General features: G+C 39.8%; 1 protein-coding gene across 1 annotated transcript, besides 3 other annotated features; it reads left to right on the top strand.

Moving 5' to 3' along the window:
• Positions 4,726-5,541: an enhancer, noted in NCBI's record as "H3K27ac hESC enhancer chr1:94344769-94345584 (GRCh37/hg19 assembly coordinates)". NCBI's record gives its function as "activates a minimal SCP1, AML or CMV promoter by ChIP-STARR-seq in naive H9 embryonic stem cells {active_cell/tissue: H9 hESC(naive)}" and the evidence as "EXISTENCE:reporter gene assay evidence [ECO:0000049][PMID:30033119]".
• Positions 4,726-5,822: a biological region, named in NCBI's record as "H3K27ac hESC enhancer GRCh37_chr1:94344769-94345584".
• Positions 5,393-5,822: an enhancer, noted in NCBI's record as "active region_1344". NCBI's record gives its function as "activates an Ori minimal core promoter by ATAC-STARR-seq in GM12878 lymphoblastoid cells {active_cell/tissue: GM12878}" and the evidence as "EXISTENCE:reporter gene assay evidence [ECO:0000049][PMID:35858748]".
• Positions 5,548-18,470, top strand: DNTTIP2 (deoxynucleotidyltransferase terminal interacting protein 2). The gene is made up of 7 exons (NM_014597.5): positions 5,548-5,677; positions 6,892-8,486; positions 8,971-9,109; positions 11,540-11,635; positions 12,518-12,682; positions 13,962-14,071; positions 14,810-18,470. The coding sequence occupies exons 1-7, from the start codon at positions 5,606-5,608 to the stop codon at positions 14,901-14,903; spliced, it is 2,271 nt and encodes a 756-aa protein (NP_055412.2). The 5' UTR covers positions 5,548-5,605; the 3' UTR covers positions 14,904-18,470.
• The last annotated feature ends 1,029 nt before the right edge of the window (positions 18,471-19,499 follow it).

Genomic DNA, 19,499 nt, shown 5'->3' with positions numbered 1-19,499 from the left:
GTGACAGAGCCAGACTCTGTCCCCCAAAAAAAGAAAAAAGGCCGGGCACAGTGGCTCATGCCTGTAATCCCAGCACTTTGGGAGGCCGAGGTGGGCAGACCACGAGGTCGGGAGATTGAGACCATCCTGGCCAACATGGTGAAACCCTGTCTCTACTAAAAATACAAAAATTAGCTGGGCGTGGTGGCATGTGCCTGTAGTCCCAGCTACTCAGGAGGCTGAGGCAGGAGAATCGCTTGAACCAGGGAGTTGGAGGTTGCAGTGAGCCAAGATCATGCCACTGCACTCCAGCCTGGTGACAGAGCAAGACTCCGTTTCAAAAAAAAAAAAAAAGCTGTATCTGTTGATAGAAGTAATGAAAAGGACTGGGGCATGTGGAAGGAAGTGGGACTGAGTAGCAGGTTAAGGATAAGAAAAACTTCCCTGAAGAAATTAGCTTTAGACTAGGGTCAGATGACAAGGTGTGGTAGGCATTCTGGGCAGAAACCCTTGTTTGCCTGGTTTGTAAATATGCCCCTATTGAATGATGGAGTAGTTAATATGTAAACTTTAGAAGTTCAAGGAAAACATCTTCAAAAGCTTATTCTTATAGAAAGGAATGGCTTCTGTTGAGATAAGCGTAGGTTAAGTTTGGAAAAGTCATAAAAAGATGAAAGCTTGCTAATTTCCTCTAAATATATCAGGATATGGTCATATGTAGTTCCGCTACCAGAGAAGTCAACAAAAGCTTTAACATGTTTCCTCAGCAATGACTAAATGTGTAAAATGTCATGCAAGATTTTGATGTGTCTGCTGGTCCATTATTTTAAGGTTCATGTTTTACAATGAACATTACTTATTTTGATTATTTTCCCTCTTTCTTTGCTCACTGTTGATTCTTGCATTCTATTCAAGTTTTTTTTTTTTGTTTTTTTTTTTTTTGAGACAGGGATCTCACTCTGTTTCTTAGGCTGGTGTACTGTGGCATGATCATGGCTCACTGCAGCCTCAACCTCCCAGGCTTAAGCCATCCTCCCACCTCAGCCTCTCAAGTAGCTGGGACTACAGACATGCACCACCACACCTGGCTAACTTTTATTTTTGTAGAGACAGGATCTCGCTATGTTGCCCAGGCTGGTCTTGAACTCTTGGACTCAAGTGATCCTCTCACCACAGCCTCCCAAAGTGCTGGGATTACAGGCATGAGACACAGTACCTAGCCTCCTTAGTAATTCTTTACCAAAGGTCTTTAGTGACAGTAAATTTTCTAGATCCCATTTGTCTGAAATGTCTTTATTTTGCACTCAACCTTTGTTTTTTGTTTTTGTTTTTGTTTTTTATAGAGATCAGTTTTCATTATGTTGCCCAGATTGGAGTGCAGTGGTTATTCACAGGTGTGATCATCGCATACTACTGCCTAGAACTCCTGAACTAAACAATCCTCCTGCTCCAGCCTCCCAAGTTGCTGAGACTACAGGCACATGCCACCACACCCAGCTTAGTTTGCACTCAATCTTAAATGATCATTTGACATTACAGAATTCTAAAAGCCCCCAAATACAATATTGAAAACCAGATACAACCCAAATGTCTATCAACAGCTGAATGGATAAATCCATTGTTATATAGTCATACAATGAAATACTCAGCAATAAAAAAGAATCAACTACTGGTATACACAATAACATGGATGAATTACAGAAACACTATGCTGAGTGAAAGAAGCTAGACATGAGTACATACTGTATTATTTCTTTTTTCTTTTTTTTTTTTTTAAGACGTGGTCTCGCTCTGTCACCCAGGCTGGAGTGCAGTGGCATGATCATGGCTCACTGCAGCCTCAACCTCCCAGGCTCAAGTGATCCTCCCACCTCAGCCTCCCAAGTAGCTGGGACTACTGGCGCATGCCACCATGCCTGGCTAATTTTTATATATTTTGTAGAGATGGGGTTTTGTTATGTTGCCCAGGCTGGTCTCAAACTCCTGGGCTCAAGTGATCCTGCCTCCTCAACCTCCCAAAGTGCTGGGATTACAGGTATGAGCCTCTGTACCTGGCCTGTATTATTTATTTTACTTGAAATTTTAGGAGAGATGAAGTTAATCTATAACTACTGGTTATCTATTGTTGTATCTGGATGACTTTGAGGCATCCAGATGCAGCAATGGATAAGTCAAGACTGCAGTCTCACCTGAAGGCTGGACTGAGGGTCTGTTTCCAAGCTCACTCGTGTAGTTGTTGGCAGGACTCAGTGCCTCACACGTTGTCAGACTGAGTTCCTTAATTCTTCACTGGGTGTAGGCCAGAGGCCTCCTTCACTCAGTTCCTTGCCACAGTGTTCTCTTCAAAGGACAGCTTATAACGTACAGCTAGGTTCCTACAGAGTGAATGATTGAGAGAGAGCAAGATAGAAGCCAGCCTTTTGTTAACCTAATCCTGAAAGTGACATCCATCATTTTTGTCATACTCGTTTCATTAGAACTCACTAAGTCCAGCCCACATTCAAAGGTTTGAAGACCAGAAAATGGGATCACTGGACATCTTACAGGTCAAACTTAATTTTAATAGTAATGTTTTACATGTAACAATGCAGAATGACCATGAATAGTATGCATTTTTAGAAGGCTCATGCACTAAAACTCTCATCTTTTGGTTAATGCCTAAAATTCCAGGGAGCTTTGACCTTTCAGTTTAAGGATTTAATTAGTAAAATATAGATTATTTAAGGTAAATTTCCTTTTGGGCCTGAGTAATAGTACTGGTTACCGTTAAAAAATGTGGGGGTTGGGGCATTGACCCCCCTGCACAGTTGAAAATCCACAGATAACTTTTGACTACCCCAAAACTTAACTACTAATAGCCTACTATTGACCAGAAGCCTTGCAGATAACTAGTTGATTAATACATATTTTATATGTTGTATATATTATATATTGCATTCTTACAATAAACGAGAAAAGAAAATTTTAAGAGAATCATAAGGAAGAGAAGTGGAAGTGGATCATCATAAAGGTCTTCATCCTTGTCTTCATGTTAAGTAAGCTGAGGAGGAAGAGGAGGGGTTGGTCTTTCTGTCCAGGGGTGGTGGAGGCAGAAGAAAATCACTGCATAAGTGAAACTTCCCAGTTCAAACCCGTGTTGTTCAAGGGTCAACTGTATTGTATATACTATATATACCTAAAATTAAATATACTGTATTTGCCCTAAATCCACTTCAGATAAAGAAGATAGGCAAAGAATATGGCAAACCTGGTAAGCCCACGTAAAAACACTTCTTTTTTTTTTGGCCTATGGTAGATTTGTTGATAGACCAGCTCAATCTTCTCATATTATAACTATGTACTGACAATTTTAGTATCTTACGTTTGTTTCTTGACCTTAGATTGTATATGAGTTGGTTTTCTCCTTTTTTTTTTTCTTTACTTGAAAGGGCCATGCTTGCAAGTGAGTATTAGACATTGCATGATTTTCTAATATTCTCTCCAGTTTTCTACACCTACCTCTGTCATCTTAATTTCTATTTTCATGCATTTGCTCAAATTAAAGATGTGGAGATTAAATGAATGAATACATGTAAAGCACGTAGATTAGTATCCAGCAGATATTAAGTGGCCAATACTATTATGATTGATGCTGTTGTTCTTTGATGCTTTGATCTCCACAACCTACATCCAATTGGTTCACTTTCCTTCTACACGATTTGTCTCCTCCTCAAATCTAACCTTTCTCTTCTGTTCATCTTCTTACATAGTCTCACTGCTACTTGGCCCTACTAAAATTTATTTTTGCTTCTTACCACATTTGCCACAAATGTTGATATAAACCATTTCCATTCTTCTGAGATGTATCACCTACTTACAGAGGTTATTATCTACCCAAAATCTTCTCTTCTTCACTCCACTTGAACATACTTGCATTCACATTCTCCTCTCTGTTTCAGATATCAACTCTTTCCTCCTGGCTCAAAGGAAGGTGCATTCTTTTCTGACTACACCCACATCTCTGTTTATTATCCAGTTCAGTTAGCATTAGGCTCGGCTGCAAATAGAAAAATCCTTAATTAACAGTGGCTTTTAACAAGGTGTTTCCATCAGGTGAAAAATCTAGAAGGCGGCTCTTGAGGGCTCATAGGGCAGCTCCACAAGTTGATTTTTCCATCTCACTGCTATGCCATCTCTAAAGCATGCCTTCATCCTTATGGCACAAACTTGCCGCCTGAAAACCAGCGAACCCAACTTTCCAGGAAGTAAAATGCACTTTAAAAGATCAGGAGGGCTGGGCGAGGTCGTTTAGGCCTATAATCCCAGCACTGTAATCCCAGCACTTTGAGAGGCCGAGGCGGGTGAATCACCTGAAGGCAGGAGTTCAAGACCAGCCTGCCCAACATGGTGAAACCCCGTCTCTACTAAAAATACAAAAAAAAAATTAGCCAGGAATGGTGGCGGGCGCCTGTAATCTCAGCTACTCAGGAGGCTGAAGCAGGAGAATCGCTTGAACCCGGGAGGCGGAGGTTGCAGTGACCCAAGATTGCGCCATTGCACTCCACCCTGGGCGACAGAGCAAGACTCCGTCTCCAAAAAAAAAAGTCAGGGACGGCCTCCTCTCTTTTAGATGCCGTCCCTAAAGACATGCACACAATTTATACCTAATTGGCTAAAACGTAGTCACATAGCCACATTTGGCTGCAAGAGAGACTATAAAATAAGCTATTTTAAGCTGGGAAGCAGTGTGTCCATCGACACAGTGTTCTGTGACTTTAAATAAAAAATTGGTTTTCTGTCATGAAGTAGAGACTAGGTTTGGTGAGGCACTCATTCATCCTTTCTCACCTCCAACAATAATTTGCGTTTACTTATTTTTTCAACCCCTTCCCATCCCCTCAAACATAGTTCTCTACCTTTTATCTCAAAAGATAACCAAAGAAACCTCTTGATTCTGGTCATACTCTTCCTTTCACTGTGACAATAACAACAACAACAACAACAACAAAACCTTATTCTTCTCCTTTACAATTTCTTTAACGTTTTTTTCTTTTCTGCTATTCCCAATCCCTAAACACCATCTCACGTTTAGATTATACAGCTTTCCACTTCGTCTCCCAGTTCCTGCGAGCACCTTATATCCCTTTTACCCCAACCAAGTCCTTAAATTTTATTTATAGTTAGCGTCACAATACACGAGTAAATATTGTCTTTCTTTAAAAAGCACAAATATCTCAAACTTCTCCCTTGGACATACCAATGGCTACATTAAGCTCTTTAGAACGTAGAAATGAAAGAACGCCTCCCGGGTTCAAACGATTCTACTAAACAAATGAAAGAACGAATGGCATGTAAGTGCGTTTTTACAATTCATGTGAACGGGTACGCTAAGACCCTCTGTCACTGCGGGCTTCGCCGCCCCGATGAAGGTCTTTCCCAGCAAAAATCTGGCTTGCCTTCTACAGCTCTGAAATGCACACTTAAACCCAGGCCCTTTGTCTCTGACCGCCCTGGCCTGAACTGGCTGGGCGGAGATTCTCGCGAATTCTCGGATCTGCGCGGAAAACGCGCTCGAGGCAGTTCTCTGACGCATTTCCGGAGCGCCAGGGAAGAGGGAAGTCGTGGTGGTCGCGAGGGAGCCGGAAAGATGGTGGTTACCAGATCTGCACGGGCTAAGGCCAGCATCCAAGCCGCGTCGGCTGAAAGTTCCGGGCAAAAGGTAGGAAATCCAGTCTTCCCTACTTCTCGCCGCTTCGCAGAGCCGCGCTCAGGCAGGCGGGGCGGCGCAAGGGTCCGGTTAAGGGTGAGGACCTGCCGACAGAGAGGACCCGAGCTTGCCGCGCGCTTGGGTCTCCCAGGCCCCGTGCTAAGCCTGTCACGGAAACTGTTTAGCCTTCACCACTGTCTCTTAAGGCAATTTTTAGTATGGAAGAGAGGTTAGATAACTTTATTTGGGTCGTTCAACTCCTTAATGCAGAAGCACAGTTCGAACTTTTAAACCTTACTGTTAACACGGTACCAAGGAGGGTTAATTTCGGCCACCATGCACAAGCCCCATTTAGGGGGGCTGGAAAAAAAGCTTCGTTTTCACGTGGGGAGGCTGGCAGCTGTCCAGCATCACCTCCTTAAGGCGTGAGGAGGGCTGTGGTGTCGTCGCCTGGTGACTCTTAGTGGCGTTAGTCGGCTGTCTCATTCTGACTCAGCGATGCAGGGAACGGAGCGGCGGCGATTTTTTCCTGTACGTAAAGGTAAGGGCGGCGACTGATTCCATCAGTGTGTTCCTAAACACATCGGTGTTCAGAGTTAATATTCCCTTTCTCCCCTCTTCTATAGGTGGGTCAGAATGTTGGTCTACCCATTATATTTGACTTTAAACAGAAAAATTTTAATCGTTCTGCTTCTGAAGTTACATCTAGGAAGGATGAGGCTAGTGAAGTAAATGCAGGGTTGGCTCCAGTGTTTAAATTTTGATTTTTTTGTTTGTTTGTTTTTGATTCGGAGTCTTGCTCTGTCGCCCAGGCTAGAGTGCAGTGGCGCAGCCTCGGCTCACTGCAACTTCTGCCTCCCGGATTCCAACAATTCTTCTGCCTCAGGCTCCTGAGTAGTTGGGATTACAGGTGCGCACCAACACGCCCCGCTAATTTTTTTACTTTGAGTAGAGATGGGGTTTCACTATGTTGGCCAAGCTGTCTCGAACTCCTGACCTCGTGATCCACCTGCCTCGGCCTCCCAGAGTGCTGGGATTACAGCCGTAAGCCACCGCGCCCGGCCAAATTTTGATTTTTTAAAAATCATGAGTTGGGCAGGTTTTTTTGTTTTTTGTTTTAAAGGTAATCTTGTTTACTGGGTTTTAGCTTTTGGGGTCAGTATTTCATTTGCTTTGCCCTTGTTCCAGCCCTACCTAAATTACAGTGTGTTTTCTCTGGTTTGCAGAGTTTTGCTGCTAATGGGATTCAAGCGCATCCAGAAAGTAGTACTGGATCTGATGCCCGAACTACTGCTGAATCACAGACCACTGGGAAGCAAAGTTTAATCCCTAGAACTCCTAAAGCTAGAAAGAGGAAGAGCAGAACTACAGGCTCACTACCAAAGGGGACTGAACCATCTACGGATGGAGAAACCTCTGAGGCAGAGTCAAATTATTCTGTGTCTGAGCACCATGATACCATTTTAAGGGTAACTAGGAGAAGGCAGATCTTAATTGCATGCTCCCCAGTGTCCAGTGTTAGGAAAAAGCCGAAAGTAACTCCAACAAAGGAGTCTTACACTGAAGAAATAGTGTCTGAAGCAGAATCTCATGTTTCAGGTATTTCTAGAATTGTGCTTCCTACAGAAAAAACTACAGGAGCCAGAAGAAGTAAGGCTAAATCTCTGACAGATCCAAGCCAAGAATCTCATACAGAAGCTATATCTGATGCTGAGACATCAAGCTCAGACATTTCATTCTCTGGAATTGCAACTAGAAGAACCAGGAGTATGCAGAGGAAATTAAAGGCACAAACTGAAAAGAAAGATAGTAAGATTGTACCAGGAAATGAGAAACAGATCGTGGGTACACCTGTGAATTCAGAGGATTCAGATACCAGACAAACTTCCCATTTACAAGCAAGATCTCTTTCTGAGATAAATAAGCCAAATTTCTATAATAATGACTTTGATGATGATTTCTCCCACAGAAGTTCAGAAAATATATTAACAGTGCACGAACAGGCCAATGTTGAATCTCTTAAAGAAACAAAACAGAATTGTAAGGATTTGGATGAAGATGCCAATGGAATAACAGATGAGGGGAAAGAAATTAATGAGAAAAGTTCTCAGCTGAAGAATCTTTCTGAACTTCAGGACACTAGCCTTCAACAGTTAGTTTCTCAGAGACATTCAACCCCCCAAAATAAAAATGCTGTATCAGTGCACTCTAATCTGAACTCTGAGGCTGTAATGAAATCATTAACTCAAACATTTGCAACTGTGGAAGTAGGCAGATGGAATAACAACAAAAAGAGCCCCATAAAAGCAAGTGACTTGACAAAGTTTGGTGATTGTGGTGGTAGTGATGATGAAGAAGAGTCCACAGTTATAAGTGTCAGTGAAGACATGAACAGTGAAGGGAATGTAGATTTTGAATGTGATACCAAACTATACACGTCTGCGCCCAACACATCTCAGGGTAAAGATAATTCTGTCTTACTAGTTCTCAGCAGTGATGAAAGCCAACAGTCTGAAAACAGTGAGAATGAAGAGGATACTTTATGTTTTGTTGAAAATAGTGGCCAAAGGGAGTCATTAAGTGGAGACACAGGAAGTCTGTCATGTGACAATGCATTGTTTGTAATTGACACAACTCCTGGAATGAGTGCTGATAAAAATTTTTACTTGGAAGAGGAAGACAAGGCAAGTGAGGTTGCCATTGAGGAAGAAAAAGAAGAGGAAGAGGATGAAAAAAGTGAAGAAGATTCATCAGACCATGACGAAAATGAAGATGAGTTTAGTGATGAAGAAGACTTCCTAAATAGCACAAAGGCTAAACTGTAAGTTTTTCCTTTATTTTTATAAGTTTTTGATACATGTATTTCAAGTGGTTAATTTACCATAAAAATATGAAATGTTAGCCTGGGGAATGAGAAAATCACTGCCTTGGGTTCTTCATGGAATGGCTCATTCATTTGACATTATGGAGCCAGGTGTTGGGTGTGCACCTGTAGTCCCAGCCACCCAGGGAGGTTGAGGTAGGAGGATCACTTGAGTCCCAAGAGTTCAAGGCTGCAGTGGTCACTACTGCACTCCATCCTGGGCCAACAGTGAGACCCTGTCTCAAAAAATAAAATAAAATGATGAAAAATATATTTATTTAGAGTTTTTTTTCAGGAATTCCTCATAAAAATAAGATGCTTTTTTTTCTTTATTGTGGACAATACAAGGGAAGAGAAGAATAAGTGATTTTTTAAAATGCCATCTTATATGTTTCCATTTTGATTTAATTACTTGATCTTTAAGTGATGATTTCTTTTTCAGTCTGAAGTTGACAAGCAGCAGCATAGACCCTGGTCTGAGTATCAAGCAGTTGGGTGGTTTGTATATTAATTTTAATGCAGATAAACTACAGTCTAACAAGAGAACCCTAACACAGATCAAGGAGAAAAAGAAAAATGAGGTAAGTTAATTGTGCTGTTAGGTTTTCACAGAACTAACCAATCACTTTTAGAAATTAGTCCTTGGTAAAAGACTTAATTTTCCTACAGTGAAACCACATTGGCCTAATGTGTTAGTTTTTTCCTTCTCTCTAAAACAGTCATTTCTTTTTACAATAAAATCCTATCTATGAATGATAATGCTTTAAAAATAAATCAATACAGGGTCAGTGTTCCTCATCTTACACCCACCAATTATGATCCCAGGGGTTTTGTTTTTTTCCCTTTTCTTGCTATACTTTTAGTTCTTAAGTTCTTAACTAGTGTAGACTGTTGAGAATCTGAAAGCTGTGAATGCCTGCCTGCCTCTTCCACCCGGAAAAAAATGCACATGTGCATATAGACATTTTACATATAATTTCAGAAGGAATTACTGTTAAGGTAACTTTACCCAAACCCTTAGCTTTAGCCAACACCTTGCACTGTTTTCTCCTAAATCTATATTTTCTAGCCTTGATGCTTCTCACTGTCACTTTCAGACCTTTAAATCCAAGTACCTATTTGTTCATTTAGATGTCCTCAGGTACTTGACGTCACTAATTCCCCTTTCCCTGCCTGAACCAGGAATCCTCTTCTTGTATTCTTTTTTCTGGCTAATGAAACCAAACTCTCTTTTCCTTTTGTAGTCAGTCACCAAGCCTCTAGGGGAAGATATTTCTCTGCTTCCTCCTTTTCAAGCGACTGTCACCAGCTAGTGCAGGCCTTTGCTTCTCATCTGGACTACTCCAGTGGCTTCCTTATTGATCTTGTTTTCATCTTGTTCTTCAAGCCATCCTCCACACTTCTAGATTTCTCTGTCTAAAAACACAAATCCGGCTGGGCAAGGTAGCTCACATCTATAATCCCAGCACTTTGGGAGGCTGAGGCAGGAGAATTGTTTAAGCCCAGGAGTTTGAGACCAACCTGGGCAACATAGCTAGACCACATCTCTCCTCCCTGCCCCAAAAAACACACCACACACACAGATGTGACAGTATTCTCTTGAATCCTTCAAAGTACCTCTCTACCCCACCCAGCTGTCATCTGCTCTATTCTTGCCACTGAAGACTACTGTAGTTGCCTGAACTTACCCTGCTTTTCCCCAAGCAAGTGCAAAATAATTGATCGTTGCCCTTGGGGAATATTTTACCTCCAGTCCTTCTCACAACCCCTCTGTTTCCATAACATCTAGCATAGATCTGATTCATTGTTGATCATGTGATATATTAACTTACCATCTTTTCTTTATATTCCTAAAACAGGGTTTTTCAGTCTCAGCACTACTGATGTTTTGGGCTGCATAATTTTGTTGTGAGATGTTCCGTGCATAGTAGGATGTTTAACAGCATCCCTATCTTTTGCCCACTAGATGTCAGTAGCATTCTTCCTTATCCTCACCACCACCAAAAATGTCTCCAGACATTGCCAGATGCTCCCAGTTGAGAACCACTGTCCTTGAATGTACTACAGTACTTGACTCACAGCAAACTCTTAATCATTTGTTAAGTAAATATCATGCCCCCTTTTATGAGTGATAGGAAAGCCTAGACGGCTACCTATACCACACAGAAACATCTAGGCCTGAACCTGAATTGTGTGCCTGACTGTTAATTTCTGAGTTGATCATTTCAAATGTCAGTCCCAAATTAATGCTTGTACTATATTCCTGTAAACTATTTTGAGGGCTACAGAGCAGTCTTACTTGGTTCTTGTACTGAGAAAAATACTAATTAACCTGAGGTTCCTTTAGTCACACAGAGTTTTAGGAGAATATAATCATCCTAGTCAAGTAACAAAAGTACAGAAATCATTTAGGAAAAGATAAACAGATTTGACTGCACAAATTTATTTATTTATTTTGGAGAAATGGCGTTTTCTTATGTTACCCAGGCTAGTCTTGAACTCCTGGCCTCAAGTGATTGTCCTGCCTTGGCCTCCTAAAGAGTTGGGATTATAGGCATGAGCCATCGTGCCTGGCCTTTTTTTTCTTTTTTCTTTTTTTTTTTGGGAGGGAGCTGGGTTTGGGGGGAGACAGGGTCTCACTCTGTCACCCAGGCTGGAGTGAGTGGCACAGTCATAGCTTGCTGCAGCCTCAAGCTCCTGGCCTCAAGTGATCCTTCTGCCTTAGCGTCCTGAGTAGCTGGGACTACAGGTGTGTGCCACCATGCCCAACTAATTTCTTTTCTTTTTTTTTTTTTTTTTACAGTCAGGGTCTTGCTATGTTGACCAAGGTGGTCTAAAACTCCTGGCCTCAAGTGATCCTCCTCCCTTGGCCTCCTCAAAGCACTAGGATTATAGGTGTGAGCCACTTTGCCAGGCTGACTAAAAATTTTAAAACTTACAGAAGTTTAAACTGTTGAAAAACTTATATAACATTCTGACATTATTTTAAAACCAATTTTATGTTTTTATAGCTTCTGCAGAAAGCCGTCATTACACCTGATTTTGAAAAAAACCACTGTGTTCCACCATATAGTGAATCAAAGTATCAACTTCAGAAAAAACGCAGAGTAAGTACAGTGACTTAATTAAAATGCTTAGATATGTTTGGCTATATATTTTCAGCTTATACAACATAACTGCACAATTAAACTGTATCTGTTGGTCTATATATGAGTCCAAAGAAAATAATTACAGATTTCTAAGGGCTGTAAAATATAGTACCATAAACACATTATGTATAGATTTTCACATCTTTGCAGCCACAATAGTGCATCTATAAGTAGAGGTTTTTTAAAAAAATATATATATATATAGATTACTTCTATCTGCCATTTCGACTAGTTATCCAGAGAGCTTGAAGGAAAGTTGAGGATGGTATTCTAGTAATGTTACTGTAATATGGAGCACCCTGGCACATGGTAGGCACTAACTAAATACTTGTTGTATGAATGAAACAAAATTAAATAACTTGTAGGAGTTTTCTAAAGAATAGTATTTTGTTTTATTGTAGAAATAACACAAGGTTCTGGATCCTTGTATGAGTGGCATTCTGAGACTCCTGGGTGACTGAATAAAAATGTTTACATATAAGCTCTAGAAACGAAAGTGTTTTTATACATTTTCTTACTGCATATAGTCTGTTTTAGACAATAAAAATTGAAGTTGTGTGTTATTCTCCCAGCAAGTCAGCAGTTACTCTCTGAGACAGAAAATAGATTTTACGGAGCCCTCATTTATGAAACTGATAATCCTGTCCCTAATTTAGCGGAGAAGTCACTTTTTGTGATTTAATTCCTTTTATCTCTATGATTCTGGATTTAAGTGCTTTCAATAAAGTAACCATTTGTTTTTAATTTACAAAATTTTCTGTATGTGTTACTTCAGGGGAAATGAATTATAATGTATACTCTTAGCTGTTAGAATGTTTATTTTTGAAATCATAATTTCAGAAAGAACGACAAAAAACAGCAGGGGATGGCTGGTTTGGTATGAAAGCTCCAGAAATGACAAATGAACTGAAAAATGATCTCAAAGCACTGAAGATGAGAGCCAGCATGGACCCGAAAAGATTTTACAAGAAAAATGATAGAGATGGCTTCCCCAAGTACTTCCAGGTATGAAGCAAACAGAATAGTGGTGATGATCTGTGAATTTTAGTTTGGAAAGCACTGTAGTGTTCTTTAAAGTTTACTCCTAAAATAGAGGATATTTCCATTGTGCATGCCTAATGTATGGAACATATCTGCATAGGCCATATAAGAATGGCCATTACCCAATTCAGCCACTAACTTTTAATTTGATCACATTTAGAGAGATGGTGTTACAAATGGTTTCCAGGTCAGCTAAAACCTGTTGAACCTATAAAGTTCACTATGTGAATGTATGAATAGTATCAGCCTAACAGCAAGAGTCCATACGGGATAGGGGTAAAAGGGTATCACGTGTACTAATCCAAGTTGGTTTTTAAAATGTTTTCATCTGTTCGTGTTACACCTCTGCTCAGAAACATTCAGTGATGAATTATGACATAGGATTGGGTCTGTATCCTTTCATTTAGCCATTAATAATCCATACCCAAACTAGTTCACCTGCCTTTCATCATATAGCCCAACAAATTCCAACACACTTAGCTACTCAGTCTTGTCAGAACACGTACATACCAGTCCCTGCATAATTTGACTTTGCATATCCATAGTTCTTGTTTGTTTGGTGAAATTTTACCCATACAAATTCAAGCTAAATTGTCATTCTTTGTTAAATCTTCCTTACCTCTCTTAGGTACAATTGGTCACTTTGTCTTCAGAGCGTCTATAGTGTTTTGTTCAGCACATGTTATGCTTTAATATTTTAGTTACTTTTTGTGGAGCTTCCTTAAGACTGCAGGCTCTGCACTGCAGGAACCAGATGTTCTTTGTTTCCCTAACATGTAACACAGTGCCTGGTGCATAGTGATCACTGTAAATTTTATTCAGTTGAGTGTATGAACAAATACAGAATGATCACTAAGTAGGCCAAACTGGCAGCCTTTGTGATGACCTAGGAAACCAAATAGGTATGTAGTAGAATTTATGTGTCTAATTCATTGATTTGGGAAACTAGAACAAAAAGTATATATTATCTGTTCCACTTTTCTCCTTTAGTTACACTGTGCATCATGAATTTAGTGTTTAGCAAAGAAATTTTGGATCTACTATAAACTACTGAAGAAACATAATAGCACCACTATGCTACTTTTTTTTTTTTGCTTTAAATAAATGGCAAAATTTACATTACTATTAGTGTAATGTAAGCTTGTTCTTTCCATTCCTTTCTCTAAATATAATTAGAGCTACACTGAAGTATGAAAGCATCTTGGCACTCAATGCATGACTTATTTCAATCAATTGTTCACAGATTGGAACCATTGTTGACAATCCAGCTGATTTCTACCATTCACGAATTCCCAAGAAGCAAAGGAAAAGAACTATTGTGGAAGAACTGCTGGCTGATTCTGAATTCAGAAGGTAAAGGAATTCATATTTATTTTATAATATGTATACTTTGCTTTAAAAATGTATAAACTTATAAATTTTCAAATAATTTAAAAATAACTCATTTATAATAACCCATAACATATTAACATGAATATATATTTTTATGAAAAATAATTTAGTGCAAATCTCTTTAATGTCTGGCTTAACTAAAGACAGAGGCTCATACCTGCTTCTGCAGATAACATACATCACGTAGCCCCTGGAAAACACTACACTCATGAGAGAACGAGGGTGAAAAAAGCGATTAATGCCTTAGTATTCTTGAGAAAATAGTTTTTACCTAATGAATCCCTTGAAAGGGTCTACTCCACAGACCACACTTTGAAAACCATTGGTCGCTTCTAAGAAATATATATATCATACTGTGCATTTTCAGGATAAGTGTGACTTTTTGTTTTGCTTAGTCCTGATTTTTGTGTTTTTATCCCTCAAAAATGTTTAAAGCATTTGATACAGCCTGGTGGATGGATATAGTGCATATATAGATCATATATGGATATATGGATAGATAGATGGATATAGTGCATATAGTAGGAAAGTCTTCCTACTACAGTTGCCATTTTTTCTCCCTAGATTGCAAGCAAGTGCTATGAGGTCAGAGACTATACTTGTCTTGTCCACCACTCCATTCCCAACTTTTACCCTAAGGTTATATTAACTTCTAATGTCTGATATATCAAACATAAAGTTCTGATTTTTCTTTTTCAGATACAACCGAAGGAAGTACTCAGAGATCATGGCTGAAAAAGCAGCAAATGCAGCAGGAAAAAAGTTCCGAAAGAAGAAGAAATTTCGCAATTAAGATTTACCAAGCAAACTGCAACATTTTACATTGCTCCTTTATTTACTTATTAAAGACGTTTGGAAAACTAACACCATCATCTAAATTAATTTACCATAGACTGGCCCTGTTCATACAGGAATTTGTATTTGGAAAAAGTTGATTTGAGAATCGATTACATGCCCTTAGAAAATAGGGGTGTCTAAAAGACCCACCCTGGTGTAGACTCTTTATGGGAAAAAAGGAAAAAAAATCTCAACCATTTTAAGATAACTGATGGTTTGTAAAGTTTTCAATGCTTAGTTATTTAAAGAAAATTTAATTAAAAGATAGGAAGTATAAAGTTTGCTAACATGTTCAAAGAACTTTAAAAAATGATCAAAGATATATAAACATTATTGTAATTAATAGGTAGTTTTATGTGTGTATGTGTGTGTGTGTCTGTGTAGGGGACGGGAGATGGTAGAGAGGCAATGCCCTATAGTTAGCTATAAAATTCAGATCCAGAAAGTTGGGATACAAAGATATGAAGAATATGACCTAGAAAGCTTGGGCAGAGGAGCTGTTTTCCTTGCTTGGCAACTGAAACAGGGAGGAATAATTGGTTTTTATCTAGATTTAAGTGTTGTGGTCCAAGTAAAACAGGATTAAACTATAATTTAAGTTGGCCAGGGTTTCTTCGAAGTTAACCCAGCTTACCTCTTCTCCAGTGGTACAGTATGCACCCTGGCTAAGCTGGTTTCTGGCACCCAAGGAGTGTTGGTCATTTCTGTTGATACTTGGTGAGTTGTAGCTTCCTTTATGTTACTATTCACTTTACCTCTATTTTTCCAGCATACTGCTTCCTTGAGATATCAGCAAATATGAAATCTTTTTTTTTTTTAATAATAGTTTTGGGGTACATGTGTAGAACATGCAGGTTACATAGGTATACACGTGCCATGGTGGTTTGCTGCACCCATCAACCTATCTACATTAGGTATTTCTCCTAGTGCTATCCCTCCCCTAGTCCCCCACCCACAACAGGCCCCAGTGTGTGATGTTCCCCTCCCTGTGTCCATGTGTTCTCATTGTTTACCTCCCACTTACGAGTAAGAACATGCAGTGTTTGGTTTTCTGTTCTTGTGTTAGTTTTCTGTTCTTGCTGAGATGATTTCCAGCTTCAGCCATGTCCCTGCAAAGGACATGAACTCATGCTTTTTTATGGCCACATAGTATTCCATGGTGTATATGTGCCACATTTTCTTTATCCAGTCTATCATTCATGGGCATTTGGGTTGGTTCCAAGTCTTTTCTATTGTGAACAGTGCCACAGTAAACATACTTGTGTATGTGTCTTTATAGTAGAATGATTTATAATCCTTTGGGTATATACCCAGTAATGGGATTGCTGGGTCAAATGGTATTTCTGGTCCTAGATCCTTGCGGAATCACCACACTGTCTTCCACAATGGTTGAACTAGTTTACACTCCCACCAACAGTGTAAAAGTGTTCCTAGTTCTCCATATCCTCTCCAGCATCTGTTGTTTCCTGACTTTTTAATGATTGCCATTCTAACTGGCAATGAGATGGTATCTCATTGTGGTTTTGATTTGCATTTCTCTAATGAGCAGTGATAATGAGCGTTTTTTCATGTTTGTTGGCTGCATAAATGTCTTCTTTTGAGAAGTGTCTGTTCATATCCTTCACCCACTTTTTGATGGGGTTTTTTCTTGTAAATTTGTTTAAGTTCTTTGTAGATTCTGGATATTAGCCCTTTGTCAGATGGATAGATTACAGAAATTTTCTCCCATTCTGTAGATTGCCTGTGCACTCTGATAATAGTTTCTTTTGCTGTGCAGAAACTCTTTAGTTTAATTAGATCCCACTTGTCAATTTTGCCTTTTGTTGCCATTGCTTTTGGTGTTTTAGTCATGCAGTCTGCCCATACCTATGTCCAAAATCTCATATTTACTGCTTGGAGTCAAAAGCTAGTAATAGCAGAACTGACAATAACATTCATAGTTGGAGTTAGGGAAGCATCTATGTCTGTTCTCTTTTATTTTAAAAAAAAACTACTTTTGTTTCTGGAATACTATGTTTTGCCTTCTACTGGATAAAATAAGGACCCAGTATGAGAGAATTGTATCCTTTAGTGCTTCTGGCCTTCTACAAATACCTGGATATTTAAATAATGGATGAAGTTATGTTTTGCTTTTTAATAAGCAAGTCTTTTGAGAAACAGGTTTTACTGACTTTGGCCTGTGTCACTAAACTCAGTTCACCTACTGGAACTTTTTTTTTTTTTTTTGAGACGTCTCACTCCATCACCCAGGTTGGAGTGCAGTGGTGCCATCTCAGCTCACTGCAACCTCCGCCTCCCAAGTTCAAGCGATTATCATACCTCAGCCTGCCAAGTAGCTGGGACTACTGGGCATGCCATTATGCCCAGCTAACTTTTGTATTTTTAGTAGAGATGGGGTTTTGCCATCCTTACCTCAAGTGATCCACCCGCCTCGGCCTCCCAAAGTGCTGGGATTACAGGTGTGAGCCACCATGCCCAGCCAACTGGAACTATTTGAAGGCTTTATACCAGAAAAGTATAAAGAATCCAAAGGGCTGCCACAGTCAGGTGTGCTGGTGAAAGAGACCTTCAAGATACCCCTGAGAAGATCTTGAAAGATTTCGAAAAGAATGCTGTATTTATACACCATCTGGCTCCAAGATGCTTTTTTTTTTTTTTTTTTTGAGAGACGGACTCTCGCTCTGTCGCCCAGGCTGGAGTGTAGTGGCATGATCTTGGTTCACTGCAACCTCCGCCTCCCGGGTTCAAGCAATTCTGCCTCAGCCTCCCAAGTACCTGGGATTAACAGGCACCCACCACCACACCCGGCTAATTTTTGTATTTTTAGTAGAGACGGGGTTTCACCATGTTGGCCAGGCTGGTCTTGAACTTCTGACCTCAGGTGATCCACCGGCCTCAGCCTCCCAAAGTGCTGGGATTACAGGCAGGAGCCACCACGTCTGGCCCAAAATGTTCTTAAAACAAAGTAGATGCTGTAAGACTACAGTTGATAAAGTTGGGCTCTGGGCTAGGTTCTTAGCATCCAACACAATCAGTTCTGTGTTCAGTGTTCTGCTGTATGATAAACCAACTGCTCTAGAGAAACACCAATATTCCTCTTCTGAAACCTGGGAAAATGTCTTTTTTGGGTCCCATAACTAGATGTCACAAAAGGAGTGGGGAGTGGGGAGGCTATATAAAAAAGTTCAACAAAACCTTAGTAACTGGTATACATTAATAGGATCCCATTCTTAGAAACAGCAAGTTAAAGAAAATACCATAATGGGAAAAAAAAGTTAACATTTCTGAGAGATGTACCAGGTATTCAGTCTCTCAGGCAGTGACAACTTGTTCAGAATAATTACCTACAATAGATCCCAAACCATTGAAAAATGCCTAATTGTTTACTTAATGGAATTTGTACTTACTATTTAATTAGATGAATATCTTTATTGAAAGTTTTCAGTAAGGGTTGCAACAAAAAGGGCTTTCTAATTAACCAATTCCCCAAGCATCTGTCTAATTAAAATGTAAAGTGCAATTATTCTCATTGTCACATAGTTTTTGAAGTGAAGAAAAATCTTCCAAGAAGTAGGATCAATACCATGACCTATAATTAAATGTCATAAGCGGATCAGTGTTCTATCACTGGAGAAATGAGACATCTCCAATGAACTATGAAATGTAAAATTAGGTAAGTTTGTGCATAGAGGATTTCTAGGAGGACATACAAGACATACCTTCAAATCAAGATGGCCCTGTAGTTCCTCAAGCTCAATTTTATCAATTCCAGTTACCCTCATTTCCAGTTCACTTTAGCGAATCACTATCATGGCCTTAGACTCGTTGTTTGAGAATTCAGTGGTCAAGATTCTTAACTCAGACTACCCCAATTTGTATCTTGTTATCTGTTATCCTGTTAGTCTTCCCTTCAGTTGTCTCCAACTTAGCCTTGGCTGCAATTTGGAATTACCTATGGTGGCTTCAAAATGCTGATGCCTGGGTCTCACCCCCCAAACATTGTGAAATCATGATTTCAAGCCTTTCAGCCACTCATTCTCTGAATCCTCTATCCTCATGAAGATACATTTTTCTCCCTAACCAATCTAGACCCAATTCATCAGACATTTCAAAAATTCTTTGTATGCCCCGCTAGTCTCTTTATTAATAGTCTTTTGGTTTCTGTTACTCTCGCCTCACCAATCCCAGTCAGGGAAACACTCACTATTCTTATTCTTACCAGTCTAGATTATTGAGATTCAGGAAAGTATAATGAAGCTATTGACTCAGCTGGGTTTTCACTGCCACTCCACAATCCATTTATTCAATTTTAAATACTTTCTGCCAAATTCAGTCATTCATCCTGCGAGTCAGCTAACACAAATAATTGAGTCCTGTGCATTATATAAGCACTTGGGTACAGCAGGGAAGCTAATGCAGCCTCTACACCCAAAGAGCACGCAGGAGATACAGGACACTTCCATTCTCCCAGAACCCAACTTCCACGCCTAGCCTCAGCAAACTACTTACTCCTCCTCCGCTAAACCAGCCATGGCCATCTGATGAAGGCTGC

The sequence above is a fragment of the Homo sapiens genome, chromosome 1 (genome assembly GCF_000001405.40).
Source record: "Homo sapiens chromosome 1, GRCh38.p14 Primary Assembly".
Classification (NCBI taxonomy): Eukaryota; Metazoa; Chordata; class Mammalia; order Primates; family Hominidae; genus Homo; species Homo sapiens.
The sequence above is the reverse complement of the archived record's forward strand: the minus strand, read 5'-3'. Positions and strand labels throughout refer to the sequence as shown.

Bases quoted from the DNA above. Each gene is read 5' to 3' on its own strand.
- DNTTIP2 (NM_014597.5), top strand. From the start codon at position 5,606: ATGGTGGTTACCAGATCTGCACGGGCTAAGGCCAGCATCCAAGCCGCG. The intron at 9,110-11,539 runs GTAAGTTAATTG...ATGTTTTTATAG, and splicing joins AGGAGAAAAAGAAAAATGAG to CTTCTGCAGAAAGCCGTCAT. The intron at 14,072-14,809 runs GTAAAGGAATTC...TTTCTTTTTCAG, and splicing joins GCTGATTCTGAATTCAGAAG to ATACAACCGAAGGAAGTACT.